Source organism: Homo sapiens, chromosome 7 (assembly GCF_000001405.40).
Source record: "Homo sapiens chromosome 7, GRCh38.p14 Primary Assembly".
NCBI classification, from domain to species: domain Eukaryota; kingdom Metazoa; phylum Chordata; class Mammalia; order Primates; family Hominidae; genus Homo; species Homo sapiens.
The window spans coordinates 102,821,241-102,837,093 of NC_000007.14; the positions used below are offsets into that span (position 1 = coordinate 102,821,241).

A 15,853-nucleotide genomic window follows, 5' to 3' on the forward strand; every position below is an offset into this window, starting at 1 on the left:
CCTCCTCAAAAATTTTCAAGGACCTACCCCCTTCTCTCTGATCCAACTCCAGCTGGCTGCCCTACCCCTGCAGGCCTGGGCCCAGTGGGAATGTCTATTTTACAAGTAATTTTTCTTTCTTTTTTCCATTTCATTTTAACACACACTTCCTTGGATAAGAAACCATGTTCTTCCTCAGGCCTCAAGAAACCAGGGCTCATGGTTCAGCTCATGCCATAACTACTTAATTAAGAAAGTTCCTCTGTGAAATCTACATGCTTGAGCCACATTGTACACTTTATACTTTGATAATATTAATTCATAGTATTAATTTTTCACATCTGCCTAATAGAACCTTACCTTCTATGTCAGGGAATGGTCAAGGATTCTCATTTTAAGCATTTCATATGTTACTTTATCAGGTCAGTTAAAATACTTGCACATTTTTGCCCTCAGTCAAGAGGCAAAAACTTGTGAGCTGGCTTAATCAGATGATTCTCTTAATGCTCTAGGGGAGATTAACTGAATGGACTGTATTTTGAGAAATGAGCAGAGGAAGAGCTAGAGTTAAAGCTTTGGACACCTGCTTAGTCAAGGAAGGGAAGATGCTTAAAGTAAAAGGCCTACTGGAAAAGGGATAGGAAACCACAAAGGCCGTTTTAGAACAACTCACAATGTTAGCTTCAATTAGGCAAAAAATAAAATGAAATGAAACTTCCTAACACTGAAAGCTGCTATGTATTATGAACCTTATAGCCATATACTATGTTTTCTCAGAAAGTAGTTCTCAAAAGTTTGTCATAGTCAGGTACATACTTACTTGGAAATATTTGTGCAGTATTGCATCTTAAGGATCCGGAGTTGTTTGCAGCCTATCTGAAGGTCCTCAAGGATTTGGTCAGTAAGCAAGACACAACCAGAGATATCCAAAATGTGCAGGTAATGGCATTTTGCCGATAACATCTCCATTGCTGAGTCAGTAATCTGAACACAGAGCCAAAGTAAGTACTGGTTATTCAAACACTATCTCAGGGAAGAACAGTGCCTTAGTCACTTTGGGCAACTATAATAAACTACCACAGACTGTGGCTTAAACATCAAACATTTATTTCTCACAGTTCTAGAGGCTGGGAAGTCCAAGACTGAGATAAAGATAGAGGTACCTGCAATTGGTGTCTTGGGAAGTCCCTCCTTATTTGCAGATGCCTCCATTCTTGCTATCTTCTCACATGGCAGAGAGAGAGAGAGCTCTAGTCTTTGTCTTCTTATATGGTCATAATCCCATCATGGGAGCTCTACCCTTATGACCTCTTCTAAATCTGTTTACTCCCAAAGGCCCCACTTTCTATTACTGTCACAGTGGGAGTTAGGGTTTCAACATAATAATTTTTGGAGGACAAACATTCAATTCATAACAAATAGAGTAACAAAATCAGACACTTGCATATTCTCTTTCACCCAGCTTGTCACATAATGGGCCTACAATTCAAGTGAGTTGTTTAACTGTTTCCAAATAAGGTCAGAACAGTAAAATATCTGCCTCAAGTAGCACCAATAGAAATTATGATCTTAGCAAGGCACAGTGGCTCATGCCTATGATCCCAGCACTTTGGTAGGCTGAGGCAGGCAGATTGCTTGAACCCAGTTCGAGACCAGCCTGGGCCACATGGTGAAACTCCCAAAAATACAAAAATTAGCTGGGCATGGTGGCACGTGCCTGTAGTCCCAGCTACTTGGGAGGCTCTGGTGGGAGGATTGCTTGAGCCTGGGAGGTCAGTGCTTCAGTGAGCCGAGATCACGCCACTGCACTGGGTGACGTAGCCTCAGTGACAGAGCAAGACCCTGTGCCCTGCCCACCCCCCACACAAAAAAAGTTGTGATTTTGCTGTTATTTTCATTTAAGAGTCCTCTGGTTTGGATGGAAAACTTCATCAAAATTTTTTAGTAATACCTGTCACACCAATATGAGCAACTTATGAAATGCTATAGAGATGGGATTTGGCTTTAAATTTAAAATCCTCTCTAAGGCATCACCAATTTAAAAACATATGTTTAATAACATTACATGCTACAAAACTACAAAATATATATCCCCCAAAGTTAATCTGCAGACAGCCTCATATTACTATGAGAAGGGACCTGGACATCACTGATGGTTTAGATGTAAAAAAGATGGAGTAACCTAGTTCTGGAAAGGGACAAGTAGGTGAGACAGATGTTTGGAAGCAAGGGGAGAAAGAAGCAGAAGCCACAGAGACTACACAAATCCCGCTCTGAAATATCCTGCCAAGGGTTCCAACATATCACAGTTTTGCCCAGATGTCCTACAGAGGTAATTCAAGTATACTACTTAGAGTATTTCACTTACTCCAGGATAAGCTTTCAAATTTATAGCTAAACTGAGCCTTGCTGCAGAATCAACTAGATTACTCTCTCCAAAGGAATTTTTTTCCAACTGGATTCAATTTCTTATTTTAAATGTTTGAACATTCTGAAAAACATAGGCCGTGAGGCTTGGCTCTTGTTTTAACATAAAGTTAAAAGAAAAATCACTTCAGTTTGGAACATACACTTTTTAAGTTTGGAAAAAGAGACGTTGCCATTGTCTAAACACGCTTTGTTTCCGGAACACGCTCAGGACCAAGGTTAAACATTATAACTGACTCTCACAAAAATGCCTCAGACATTCCTGCCATACTAGGTTGATCTCTGAGGATCTGATGTCATTGATAAAAGAAAAAAAAAGGCCCACAGAATTGTAGAAGAAAGGAAGGACAACAAGGTGATGGAAAAGTCCAGGGGAGGTGGAGTTCAGAGTAGCAGGTTTGGTTTGATACTAGGAGAGCTGAAAAGGAGCCTGACAGTTCCTGTAGATCAGTAGCTCATGTTGTTCAATGACTGATGTGATGTTGTTGGGATTTATGGATTAAGGGCTGGGAACTACAGATGGAAACAACTTTGCTGCATTTTTAACTCCCAGATATAAGGTCCTGCTCCCAGCCTCATTGGGCAGATTATGTTACTTCCAACACAACTACTTTTGATTCCTTGAAAAAATGTTTTGGTTTATTTTTAAATGAAATTATTTTATATTTTAGAAATAATATAAGCACATTGCCAAAAAAATAGCAATAATAGCAAAGGAAAGCAATTACACATTTATCACTTAACATAACTACTTTTAATGTTCTGGAGTATTTCTTGCTCGTTTCTCATTCCTATCCCCATTAACAGATTTGTAAATACAGTAATTACATTTATTTTGCATCCTCTTTTTTTCTTTCTTTTTTTTATTTTGCTCTGTTGCACAGGCTGGAGTGTAGTGGCACAATCTCGGCTCACTGCAACCTCTGCCTCCCAGGTTCAAACAATTCTCCCACCTCAGCCTCCTGTGTAGCTGGGATTACAGGTGCCCGCCACCACGCCCAACTAATTTTTGTATTTTTAGTAGAGACAGGGTTTTACCATGTTGGTCAGGCTGGTCTCAAACTGATGACCTCAAGTGATCCGCTCACCTTGGCCTCCTAAAGTGCTGGGATTACAGGCGTGAGCCACCATGCCCGGCCTTTTTTTTTTTTTTTTTTTTTCCGAGTTGGGTTTCACCATGTTTCCCAGGCTGGCCTGGAACTCCTGGGCTCAAGCTGTCTTCTTGCCGTAGCCTCCCAAGTGGCTGGGACCATAGCTGCACACCACCAAACCTCGCTTTCATCTTGCTTTTTTGTTTTTCCTAGTGCATTCTTATACTACTTCACAGTCTTCATATTTACAATCTTTAATTATTATAAAATGTTTTATTTAGTAGATGTAGTTTAGTTTATCATTTACATATTTCTGGTCATTTCCGTTGTTTTCAAGTTTTTACTATTTAAATAACATTTTGATGACTGTTCATAAATACAGTCTTTTCCAAGTTTTGGACTGTTACCCTTAGGATAGATTTCAGAAAGTGGATTTGTATGCTATGGTTTGAATGTTTGTTCCCTCCAAAACACATATTGAAACTTAACCCAAGATGTGGCAGTATTGAGAGGTGGGGCCCTTAAGAGGTAATCGGGTCATGAAGGCTCTGCTCTCATCAGTGGATTAACCTGTTATCATGAGAGTGGGACTGGTGGCTTTATAAGAAGAAGAAAGGTCTGAACTAGCCTGTTAACATGCTCATCTCCCTTGCCATGCGATTCCCTGCGTTGCCTTGGAATTCTGCAGAGAGTCCTTGCCAGCAAGAAGGTTCTCCACCAAATGCTCCACCTTGACCTTGGACTTCCCAGCCTCCAGAAATGTAATATTACTAAATTTTGTTCTTATAAATTACCCAGTTTCAGGTATTCTGTTATACACAACAGAAAACGGACTAAGACAGGGTATGACCACTTTTGTGGCTCTTGTTTACGAATTTTCACATTGCTTCACAAAAGGATTATACCCATCTATAATGCTATCTACAATATAAGGACCAGTTTCACTGACCCCCTGCCAACCACTGGGCATTACCATAAAAAAATGTGCAATTTGGTAGGTAATAAATGATACCTCAAATAATAATGTTTTAACTTGGATTTCTTTCTTATGTTGGATCTTTTCCCACATTGTTTACTAGCAGTATTTTCTCTGATTTGAATTCCCCAGCTCTGGCACTATTTAATTGTGACCATAGGCAAGTTGCTTAAATTCTCCGAGCCTCAGTTTCCCCATTTGTAGAATGGTTACCCGAGATTGCCACAGAACTAAAGGAGAACATGTATGTGACCAGTGACTAGCATAAAGTAAGCACTCAATAAATGGTAGCTATAATTATGATTATTCATCTCCTTTGCCATTAATATATGTGATTTTTTTTTAGTAGGACCTCTTTATACAAAAGAGAACTTGACTGTTGGCTTTCAGTTTGCTGAATTATACTTTTGTTTCTTCTCCCCTTTGCCCCCTCCCCACCAATTCCTGTTTTGATTGTGTGAGAAGTCAGGTAATTTTACTAGCACTTCTGGTGACGATCCCAAGAAAAAACCCGCCTTGAAGATGGACAGCAAGAAAGGGGCTGAATAGTCCACAAAATGAACTTTTAGGTTAATAACAGGTGGTTTCATGAGATATTAACTAATGAAAATCTAATGCAGTAAGAAATAATGTGCTTTAAAGGTCAGGCCAAAAAGAGAGTCCAAGTTTTTGCCCTAGCTTTTTTTAAACCCCTGAACTGTGGGAGGGCTTTTAAATATAATAAACATATTTTGAATATAAGCTGAGCGTGGTGGCTCATGCCTATAATCCTAGCATTTTGGGAGGCTGAGGCAGGTGGATCACTTGAGCCCAGGAGTTTGAAATCAGCCTGGGCAACATGGTGAAACCCCATATCTACAAAAAATACAAAAATTAGCTGGGTATGCTAGTAGTCCAGCTACTCAGGAGGCTGAGGTGGGAGGATCACTTGAGCCTGGGAGGTTGAGGCTGCAGTGAGCTGTGACTGCACCACTATACTACAGCCTGGGAGACAGAGTGAGACCCTGTCTCATATATATATATATATATATATATATATATATATATATATATATATATGTATATATATCTCTAATATATTAATATATATCTAATAAATGTATCTTATATATAATAAATATATCTAATATATAATATATATATTTCCAAGAGAGGGAGAGGCTCTTAGGAAATTATCTTCTTGCATATTATGTTATATTATGCTATATTTGGCTATTTCCTAAGAGCTCTATCGTATTATTTTCATTTATTTGTGAGAATGTAGCTGTGGTAGATTAAAAATGGCCACAAATGCTTTGCAGCTACTGTCAGCAAGAAGTAGAGTCTGTTTCCTCACCTCTTGAATCTAAACTAACCTTGTGACTTGCTTTGACCAAAGGAATGGAGCAGAAGTCATATTCTTCTGAGCCAGGCCTCAAGATGCCTTGCAGCTTCTACCTTTAGCCCTTAGCCTCTTGGAATGTGTTACTGCCCTTGAAGCAGCTCAGCTAGCTTGCTGGAGGATGAGACCGCATGAAGCAGGAGGAAGCTGTCCCAGCTGGGTCCCCTAGGCCAACCAGCTCTAAGGGGAGTCAAGAGATGACTGCAAAGAGATGACTGCAGCTCCTTGGGCAACCCTGGGGCCAACCACTGTCAGAAGAACCACACAGCCAAAACCAGCCCAAATTCCTGGCCCACAGGTTTGTGAGAAAATAAAATGGTAGTTGTCTTAAGCCACTGAGTTTGAGAGTGACTGGTTACACAGCAAAAGATCAGCCAATACTATGTGCCAGGAATCTCATCCTTTGTAATATATGGTAAAATATGACCCATTGATCATTTTTTTTTTATACTTTAAGTTTTAGGGTACATGTGCACAATGTGCATGTTTGTTACATATGTATACATGTGCCATGTTGGTGTGCTGCACCCATTAACTCATCATTTAACATTAGGTATATCTCGTAATGCTATTCCTCCCCCCTCCCGCCACCCCACAACAGGCCATGGTGTGTGATGTTCCCCTTCCTGTGTCCATGTGTTCTCATTGTTCAATTCCCACCTATGAGTGAGAACATGCAGTGTTTGGTTTTTTGTCCTTGCGATAGTTTGCTGAGAACAATGGTTTCCAGCTTCATCCATGGGGAATCCTTTCCCCATTTCTTGTTTTTGTCAGGTTTGTCAAAGATCAGATGGTTGTAGATATGCAGCATTATTTCTGAGGGCTCTGTTCTGTTCCATTGGTCTATATCTCTGTTTTGGTACCAGTACCATGCTGTTTTGGTTACCGTAGCCTTGTAGTATAGTTTGAAGTCAGGTAGCGTGATGCCTCCAGCTTTGTTCTTTTGGCTTAGGATCGACTTGGCAATGCGGGCTCTTTTTTGGTTCCATATGAACTTTAAAGTAGTTATTTCCAATTCTGTGAAGAAAGTAATTGGTAGCTTGATGGGGATGGCATTGAATCTATAAATTACCTTGGGCAGTATGGCCATTTTCACAATATTGATTCTTCCTACCCATGAGCATGGAATGTTCTTCCATTTGTTTGTATCCTCTTTTATTTCATTGAGCAGTGGTTTGTAGTTCTCCTTGAAGAGGTCCTTCACGTCCCTTGTAAGTTGGATTCCTAGGTATTTTATTCTCTTTGAAGCAATTGTGATCATTTCTTTTCCTTATGACCATTTCGAAACCTCTAATTGATTTTCCTTATGGTCATTTTAAAACCTCTAAGCTGAAAGAATTTCCAAACATGTTAGCCAGCTGCACTAAGAAAATAAAGGTTGAAAAGGGTAGGATTGTCATGGGGAATCCCAGAATTAGCAAATCTCTTACTCCTCTCCCTTTACATTATAAGTCTGTAGAATTGGGATGAAGTTACCTCACTAAATCCTATTTGCTCAATACTTCATGCCTTTCCACTCCTAATTTCCCCATCTGTAAAATGAGGGTAATTTAAAACAGACAAAAAATAGTGTTTACTCTCATCTCCCAGTGTTTCAGTGGTCTAGAGACATTTCTCCAAATAATGAACTTTTTGGGTAAAATGTTTTACCATATTAGTATAAGAGAAATTCTGTGCATGCCCTGGGGATTTCGCCCAGCTCACAAGTTTGTGTAGCTTTAGCTGAGCCTGGGGCCTTAGGGGAGAGCAGCCAGGCTTTGTGACCTGGCTCAATCACCTTCTCAGATGTACTTCACCTGCAGGACAGTTCAAGTAGCCTTGGGCACACCCAGTTCTCTCCCTTTTGTAGATTGTCATTCTCAAGAATAACTATAGAATGTGCTGGGGATGTAACATCCTGAGACTGAGGATAGGGGGTACTGACTGGAACAGCCAGGCTCTGTTCCAGTTCCCCCTAGAAACAGGACATCTTTCCGTGCTTCAGCCCAGTGGGTCAAGTGAACCCAAGGTTATAAAACCCAAGATGGTCCACCTTCCAGATACCCTCAGCTGCGGTGCAAGTGGAACATTTACAGTTGAGATTTCATCCACCTTGAGCAGCTTTCCTGAGCCTTGGGAAACAGGCCCTCCAGGAATCCTCGGCTTCTGTTGTCACTTGCTGCCTATCTGTAAGTAATCTGCTTCATGAAGCTTTTTGCATATGAATGTGTCCTGTCTCACCAGACTCAGACAAGTTGGTAATCAGTGCACAGTGGACCTGCTTCACATCACCTACACTTGTAGGACAGAAATGCAGTTCTAAAGCACTGGCCTGCTTTCGCTTACCTTATCCCTCTCAGAGGTGCATTGCAGAGACATTTTGTCATTGTTCAGGGCTTTGCTTTAATTTTTCTCATTTCCCACCCCCTTTTCTTTCTAATCATTACTAACTCCCACTTCACGTCGGTCATGAGGGTCAAAAGTGACAGTGTTAACCACAGGGCCTAGTGCACTGCTGAGTGCTTTGAACTGGCCCCAGAGCAACCAGCTTTTCCTCTGATTTGTAGCTATATTTGTTTTCCTTGGCATTTTAGTGTCGAGTAGGATGAGGTCACAGTACTACTAACTGACCTTCGAGGTGAGGTGGTTGCAAGGAAAAGCCGGCCTTTCTGGGGATAGATAAGGTGACCATTCAAAATTCACCTGTGGACTTTTGGGAAACCTGGCACAGAATGATGAGCCAGACACCAATGTGTTTTACGGCTCATCAAAATCAACATAAGTGGAATATGTTAGGTTGGACCACAGCCTTATGAATTCAGGGTGAGTTGAGGAGTATTCAGATTGGTCCAGATGATGGTCCCCACATCTTCTCAATCAGGATACTCATCTGACCCACAGTCTGACCAGAACAATTCAGATGGTAAAGCTAAATCTTTCTACTCCTTTGTATCAGCGTTCTAAAATAATTGACTCTTCCTTCTTCCTCTTTCTCCCTCTAAACCTTTGATACAGAGTGATGCATTTCTTGCATATTTGTTTAACATCCCCCTTAGCTTCTGGGCTGCAAGACAATAGCCATGCACAGTTTACAGAAGGAATTCCCTCAGCCTTCATAACAAAAAACAAAAAACCAAAGCAAACAAACAAACAAACAAAATCCTCTGCCCTATTTTCTGTTTGCACTGGAGCCTTTTCTTTTCTCATTCTCCTACTTTCTGCTTTAGAGCCACTAAGAAACCCAGTCTCCATCTGTGCCTGCTTTATAGCCAGGGCAGTTCTCACTTCTCACTAAGCCATGTGTTGCCCATATGTCTGTGTGCTATGAACGCAAGAATCTCTGTGAACTATCACTGTTTAAGTTGCAGAGAGTCAGTTGGTCAGCGCTTCTAGTGTTCTGGGTCCCTTGACCCAGCTCACTAATAGAACCAGATGATGCTGACCAGAAAGACATCTGGTTCCCCTAGTTCTAAACAAGTATATTATTAAACAAAAATAATTTTGCTGTGAACTTTTTGGCTTAGTTTTGTCACGGTTTACCACATCTTTTTCCCTGCTGCCTCCTCCTTTTTATTGCAGCACAATTAGCTAACCATACAAACCAAACAACATAGAAGCTGAACTTCTAGATTAAATAAAGCGTAGGGCATCTTGAGAGTTGGTGTGATGCTGTAGTAAACAAAAGCCTTCAGTGTGTACAATAGAAGAGAACACGATTGTTAATAACCTTGTAATTTCTGAGGATTTTCAAAAAAATTTCTTAGTTTTCTTCCTTCTTCATATTTTGCTAACTCCAAGTTTTTCCTGTTAATTTGTGTTGATCAATATCTTCCACTTTAGAGACTTTCCTCTTATGTCTGGTAATCCTTTTGTTCACGATTAAGAGTGGAGGACTAAAAACTAATCGGAAGGTCAGAGTACACGCATCTCTATTGTAAGCTTCAATGAAGGATGATCTACGTGTGTTATTTGTTGGGAACCACCCCTGTCAGTCATTTTAGGTCTTTCATCTTGGGCTAGTCAGGGTTCCCAGAGAAGAGGCTACCAATCTCCCACCTGGAGAAGAAGATCTGGCAGCCAAGTTCTTGATGCTCAGTTGGAAAAAGTGCTTGAATATCTCTGCACTCAGCATTGAGTCACTTAGTTAGCCTAGCAACCCTCTGTTTTAGTATCTCTAGAGTAGTGGGTAATTCAAGAACAATTTTGGCCCTCACCTCCACCAGAGAACATGTGGTAAGGTCTGGAGGGATGGGATCTTATGTGCTACTGACATATAGTGAGTAGAGGGCAGGCATGCTGTTAAACATCTACAGTGCCCGGGACACACACACACACACACACACACACACACACACACACCCCACTACAGAGAGTTATCTTGTCCAAAATATGAATAGTGTCAGGGATGAAGAACCAGAATTTAGGAAATAAATCTCCAGGCTTCTGTTTGGGGTGGGGAGAGACAGTTGCCCAGATTTATGGAGTAGGGGCTGGAATCTAGAGATCTATCTACTTCTTAAGAATCTCTAACTCAGTCTCCCTTATTTTCATCCCCACTCTTAACCCAGTTCCAAAGGTACACGGTGCTCCCAAGCTTGAAGATTGTGGTGTAAATCAGATTTTTTTTTCCAGCTTTCTCTACTGTTGGCTTAGGATTCAAAGCAGTCTCTGGTCTGCTAAATTAGTCCATCTATTTTCAAGCTTCCAAATTTTTGTTGCTCTTATCTCCTCTCCTGTTTTCCTTATCCATATGGGCCCTCACTCTTCATCTCTAGTTCTGGTAGCGTTTCAAGAGGAACAAAATTATATGTGTATATTCAGTCTACTATTATTAATCCAGAACCTGAGATCTCTAGTTCTTTACATGGAGATATGTCCATAGTATATTAAAAAGTAGGTTACAATGTATTTTGGAAAGTATGATTCTATTATTTTAAAAAACAAGGCAAAACACAAACTTTCTGTAACTATTTCTAATCTTTTTGTGCATAGAAAAAAATCTAGAAGAATAAAATACCAGCGATGGTTATGTCCAGGTGGTGACAGGACAATGGATATTTACTTTCTCCCTTAAGCTTTTATATGTAGTCCAAATTTTTCATAATGAGTACTTACTTCATTTATATACAGAGGTCCCAGAAAAATTATAAAACACTTGAAAATAACACAAAAGATGATGGTATGTCCTTGGAGTGTCAAACTGGAACACTGTTTAACAGGCCTACCTGGAGAATTCTATAGGAAATCATGCCTTTGTTTGACATACCATTTACTGTCCACTAAGGCCCTAGCTCAATGAAGTTATATGTTGTTATATTTTTGTCCAGGAAAGATGCAAATTATTTGTATCTGGTATAAACTGTAACCCCAAGGTTATGGATTTAATAACTTGTAAAACACTTTTAGATCTAACCTAACACTCTTAATGCAACATTCTTTCATCAGTTCCTACAAATACTAAGTTCATTCAAATGCTCTACGCACTGGCTTTGTCATTTTGTTGGTTCTCTCATTAGTGAATTAAAGAAATCTTTGACACATGTTTATATTTGTATGAGAATTATGTTTTTAACTTTTGGAAAATTCTACTTTGACACCAGTGGAATCATAAGCTATTTCCAATTTGAGGATAGAAGAAAAAAATCCAATGAATACCTCAACCATGGCAAAGAGAACATATTCTGAGTCCAGCCCTGATCGCTGTCCTGCCTTGTCCCTTGGCAGTGCTTAAATTGGATGTGTTTGAGCCCTGACTCCTGCACATACCTTTGGACAGCCAGCAATGCTGAGAGATGTGAGGTTAATGCAGTAAATGGCCAGTGCTTTGATAATCATATCTGACAGCTGGGAGCAATAAGAGACATCCAAATGTTCCAAGATCAGTGAGCTTTTGCAGAATGCCTGCAAAAAATTCCAAGGTCAAATTTTTTCTTTTCTTTAGTCATCTAGAACTGTCTTACTTATAGTAGCTTATTAAATGTACATTTCAGTCCCTGAAATACAGATGTTAGATCTTGATGCCCCCAAAAAATAATTTAAAAAACCCATGTTACATCCAACATCTGTTTATAGCAAAAGATATTCACAAAGCAGCTTAACAGCTTAGTGATATTCAAATGCCTGCTAACAAAATTTGGTTTTCTTGAAGTTAGGTCTAATGAAGTTTGACTCATATGGTCAGTAATGAGTAGAAGAAAAGAAATCTGAGGGTAAGATTATATGGCAGACACTCCAAGATTGACAGTGGAATGTAATGGAAAGAACAGATTCTTTGGAATCAGACAGACCCGAGTTTTGCTTTCGTTTCCACCATTTATTACCTCTTAAATCTTAGCAAGTTACTATCTTTCTGAGCCTGTTTCCTTTTTTTTTTTTTTTTTGAGAGTCTTCCTCTGTTGCCCAGGCTTGGAGTGCAATGGTGCAATCTGAGCTCACTGCAACCTCTGTCTGCCAGGTTCAAGTGATCTTGTGCCTCTTGTGCCTATTGGGACTACAGGCGTGCACCACCACGCCCGGCTAATTCTTTTTTTTTTTTTTTAGTAGAGATGGGGTTTCTCTAGGTTGCCCAGGCTGGTCTTGAACTCCTGACCTCAAGTGATCCACCCTCCCAAAGTGCTGGGATTATAGGCATGAGCCACTGTGCCCAGCTCCTCTTTTTTAACTTAGGGAAAATAACATCTACTCTCTAGCATTGTTTTGAAATGCTGAAATGTTCACCTGAAATATCTAGGACTAGAAAAAGGCCTGGAAATCATTCCCTTTATATCAATACTTCTTAATTTTCATTCCTACTTTTCAGTTAAAAAATAACTCAGTGATAAGAATCCATGAGGAAATAACACTTAAAAGTTTACAACTCAGCAGTTATACAAGAACAAAACAATCCACAAAAGTAAACCTAACCGTAATTGTAAAAATATATTTAAAAAGCAATAGGAGTAGAAATTGGAAACCATGATGAAGGAAGGAAGGAAGGAAGGAAGGAAGGAAGGAAGGAAGGAAGGAAGGAAAGAAAAGAAAGAAAGAAAGAAAGAAAGAAAGAAAGAAAGAAAGAAAGAAAGAAAGAAAAGAGAAGACAAGAGAAAAGAAAAAGGAGGAAATTTCCTCCCCCAAAATGTGAGAATTATTATAATTATCTACATGTGCTCAATCATTCTAAGAATTCTGCCTCATTATGAAGCAGCTCCTCTTAGAATACAAAGTTAGAGACCTCAGTAAATGGTAGTTTACCATTAATTTTAGTTGTAAGTACTAGATTTTAGTAACCCTAATGGGTTACTAAAGATACTTCTTATTTATATATAAATTATATATATATATATTATATGCGATTATATATATATTATATATATGTGTGATTATATATATTATATATATGTGATTATATATATATATATATATGTGATGTGGCTCTTAGCACAAAATAGATTCTCTAGCTATCTCTAAGATTTTATATACTGTGTTAGTTGAGAGGCAGTATGCACACTGGCTAGTGCTTGGCACATAGTAAGCACCCCATAAAAGTTAACTAGTGCTTACTTCAGCAGCACAGATACTAAAATTGGAAAAATACAGGGATTAGCCTGGCCCCTGAACAAGGATGACACAGATTTGTGAAACATTCAATTGTTTTTTCAGTTAGGAGGAGAAAGTTCAAGAGATCTATTGTATATGATGACTATAGTTAGTAACGATGTATTGTATACTTGAAATTTGCTAATGGATTTTAAATGTTCTCACCATAAAAAGTATCATAAGTATGTAAGGTGATGAATGTTAATTAGCTTGATTTAACCATTCCACAATGTGTGTGTGTGTGTGTGTGTGTGTGTGTGTGTGTGTGTATCAAAACAGCATGTTGTACTTCATAAATATATACAATTTTTATTTGTCAGTTAAAAATTTTAAGCCATTAAAAAGAATAAATGTTAACTACTATCAGGATTTGCACATGACACCAATAATAATAAAGATGCACAAATGTATTGTACTTTGAGAAAAACTGAAAGATATTGGTTATTTAACCCTAAGTCATCATCTTTTCCTGACCACAACAGCCAACAGTGATTCATTCTTTGATCTCATGCAGAACTTGTCTTTTTCAACTGATTCAGCACTTAGGGTATTTGACTCATTCCTGTACTGCATGAAAGTCTGTCTTGTCTGGCAACTACGTGATGGCAAAAATTAGAAGGGGCAGCTTGTCAGGAGATAGCTTGGGACCTGTCACTGGAGATAATCAAGCATAGTGGGGCACACCCAAGGAGGTACAGAAAGGAATCTACCTTTGAATTATTGGAATCAGTGGCCTGGAATCTCAGTTTGGAGATTCAATAAAAATGCAATAAGCCCCTTGTACTGCCTGGAAATCTGCTAGCTTTCATATCCCTTTCCCAAACATCATATTAGAACACAGTAAGTGCTCAGTACATACTAGTTGGTTCACTGATCCTTTATGTCTTCAAGAAAATTAAGAAGTCTCTTTTAATAATACAAGAATTTTTATGTTGCAAGAAGTAAGGTGACATTGTTTTTTTTTTTTTTTTTTTTTTTTGAGACGGAGTCTCGCTCTGTCGCCCAGGCTGGAGTGCAGTGGCGCAATCTCGGCTCACTGCAAGCTCCGCCTCCCGGGTTCACGCCATTCTCCTGCCTCAGCCTCCCAAGTAGCTGGGACTACAGGCGCCCGCCACTACGCCCGGCTAATTTTTTGTATTTTTAGTAGAGACGGGGTTTCACCGTTTTAGCCGGGATGGTCTCGATCTCCTGACCTCGTGATCCGCCCGCCTCGGCCTCCCAAAGTGCTGGGATTACAGGCGTGAGCCACCGCGCCCGGCCCCGACATTGTTTTTCCCTTGTTAGAGACATTAACATTGTTAGAGAGAATGGACAGAGTTAGAGGAACCAGAGAAAAATTAAAGCAAGAAAGAATATTTAAACTATAAGAATAATTTATTGAAGGATGAAACAAGCTTTAGAGGGAGATTCAAGGCTCTTCGTGTCTGAAAACCCTCTTCAGTAGCATCTGCCAATGTCTTGGACTGCTCGAATCAAATCTGCCTTATGCCTTTTTAAAAGCTCTAATATTCTTTAAAGACAAATGTTCTCAGAGGTTTTAAATTTAAAACTAACTTAAAAATGATTACAAGGTCTATGATACATTCATGGTACCATTCTCATCCATGGAAAATCTGAGGCACAAAAATTGGTCTAAGGCTTTATGCTAAATCAGTGGCAGATTGGCGAACTAAAGTCAGAACTTTTCCTCTCTTAGAATTCGTGTTTTCCTTTAAACACATATAAGTCATATTAAGTACTTAAATCTGCAAGCATGTTTCAACATAATCACTCATGAAATTCCATTTCCCCCCTACAGATAAGATTACAATATACACTTCTGGCTCCAATGCTGCAGAATCATACTTCTATCGATGCTGCTGATTTTCTTTCCTTGGAAAATGCAACACTAAATTTCTTCCAAGTCAAAATCTTTTACAGTAAAGACAGAGATAAAAATGCAAACATTATCAAGTTTGGCTCCTTTCCCATGTATCAGCCAATTTTGCTGTGTGTTGGCAATCTGGAAGAAAACTTCCATATCTCTTAGCGAGTTAGATCATTCCTTCTTGTGTCTTCTGAGCTGAGTCACAGTGTAGGCACTTAATGACTACATTCCTAAATAGGGTACGTAGAGGAGACTGAATTTCACTCACATTTATTGACTGTCACAATAATGTGCTTCTGCCAAAATCCTGAATTAAACCACTTTGACAGGTGGCAGCTTCTAGCCTTAGAAAAGCTCACTTCGTGTTGCATACTCATAACACCATCTCTTGACTATTTGCCTCATTAGGTCCCAATTAATTCTACTGCAAAGTTGGGGAGTTTTTCCCTGTTGGTAATTCTGGAAAATATGTGCTGTCAAGAACCATTTTCTATAATGAAGACATTTTTGGCTGCCCCAAAGGCTAAAATGCAACTTCCACAATTTTAAGATATCAACTAAATACAAAAACTTCAGTT

At 39.3% G+C, this 15,853-nt stretch overlaps 2 protein-coding genes and 1 pseudogene across 24 annotated transcripts in view; 2 read left to right on the forward strand and 1 right to left on the reverse strand.

Annotated features, from left to right (window-relative positions):
* FAM185A (family with sequence similarity 185 member A) overlaps nucleotides 1–15,853 on the forward strand; it is a 101,725-nt gene that overhangs the window by 72,242 nt on the left and 13,630 nt on the right. The gene's annotated exons all lie outside the window — the stretch shown is intronic.
* Nucleotides 1–15,853, reverse strand: part of FBXL13 (F-box and leucine rich repeat protein 13) — a 263,608-nt gene that overhangs the window by 10,052 nt on the left and 237,703 nt on the right. For 14 of the 19 annotated variants that reach the window (XM_017011850.3, XM_005250207.5, XM_011515928.4 and 11 more), the window contains 2 exons: nucleotides 11,600–11,734; nucleotides 800–963 (listed from right to left, as the gene is read on the reverse strand). In XM_017011850.3, the coding sequence (XP_016867339.1) occupies nucleotides 800–963; nucleotides 11,600–11,734 (299 nt within the window). Of the gene's footprint in view, nucleotides 1–799; nucleotides 964–1,142; nucleotides 1,201–11,599; nucleotides 11,735–15,853 lie in introns of all 19 variants that reach the window. The other 5 variants (XM_005250208.5, XM_047420045.1, NM_001438453.1 and 2 more) reach the window with 2 other exon arrangements.
* On the forward strand, nucleotides 13,365–13,468 carry RNU6-1136P (RNA, U6 small nuclear 1136, pseudogene; annotated as a pseudogene).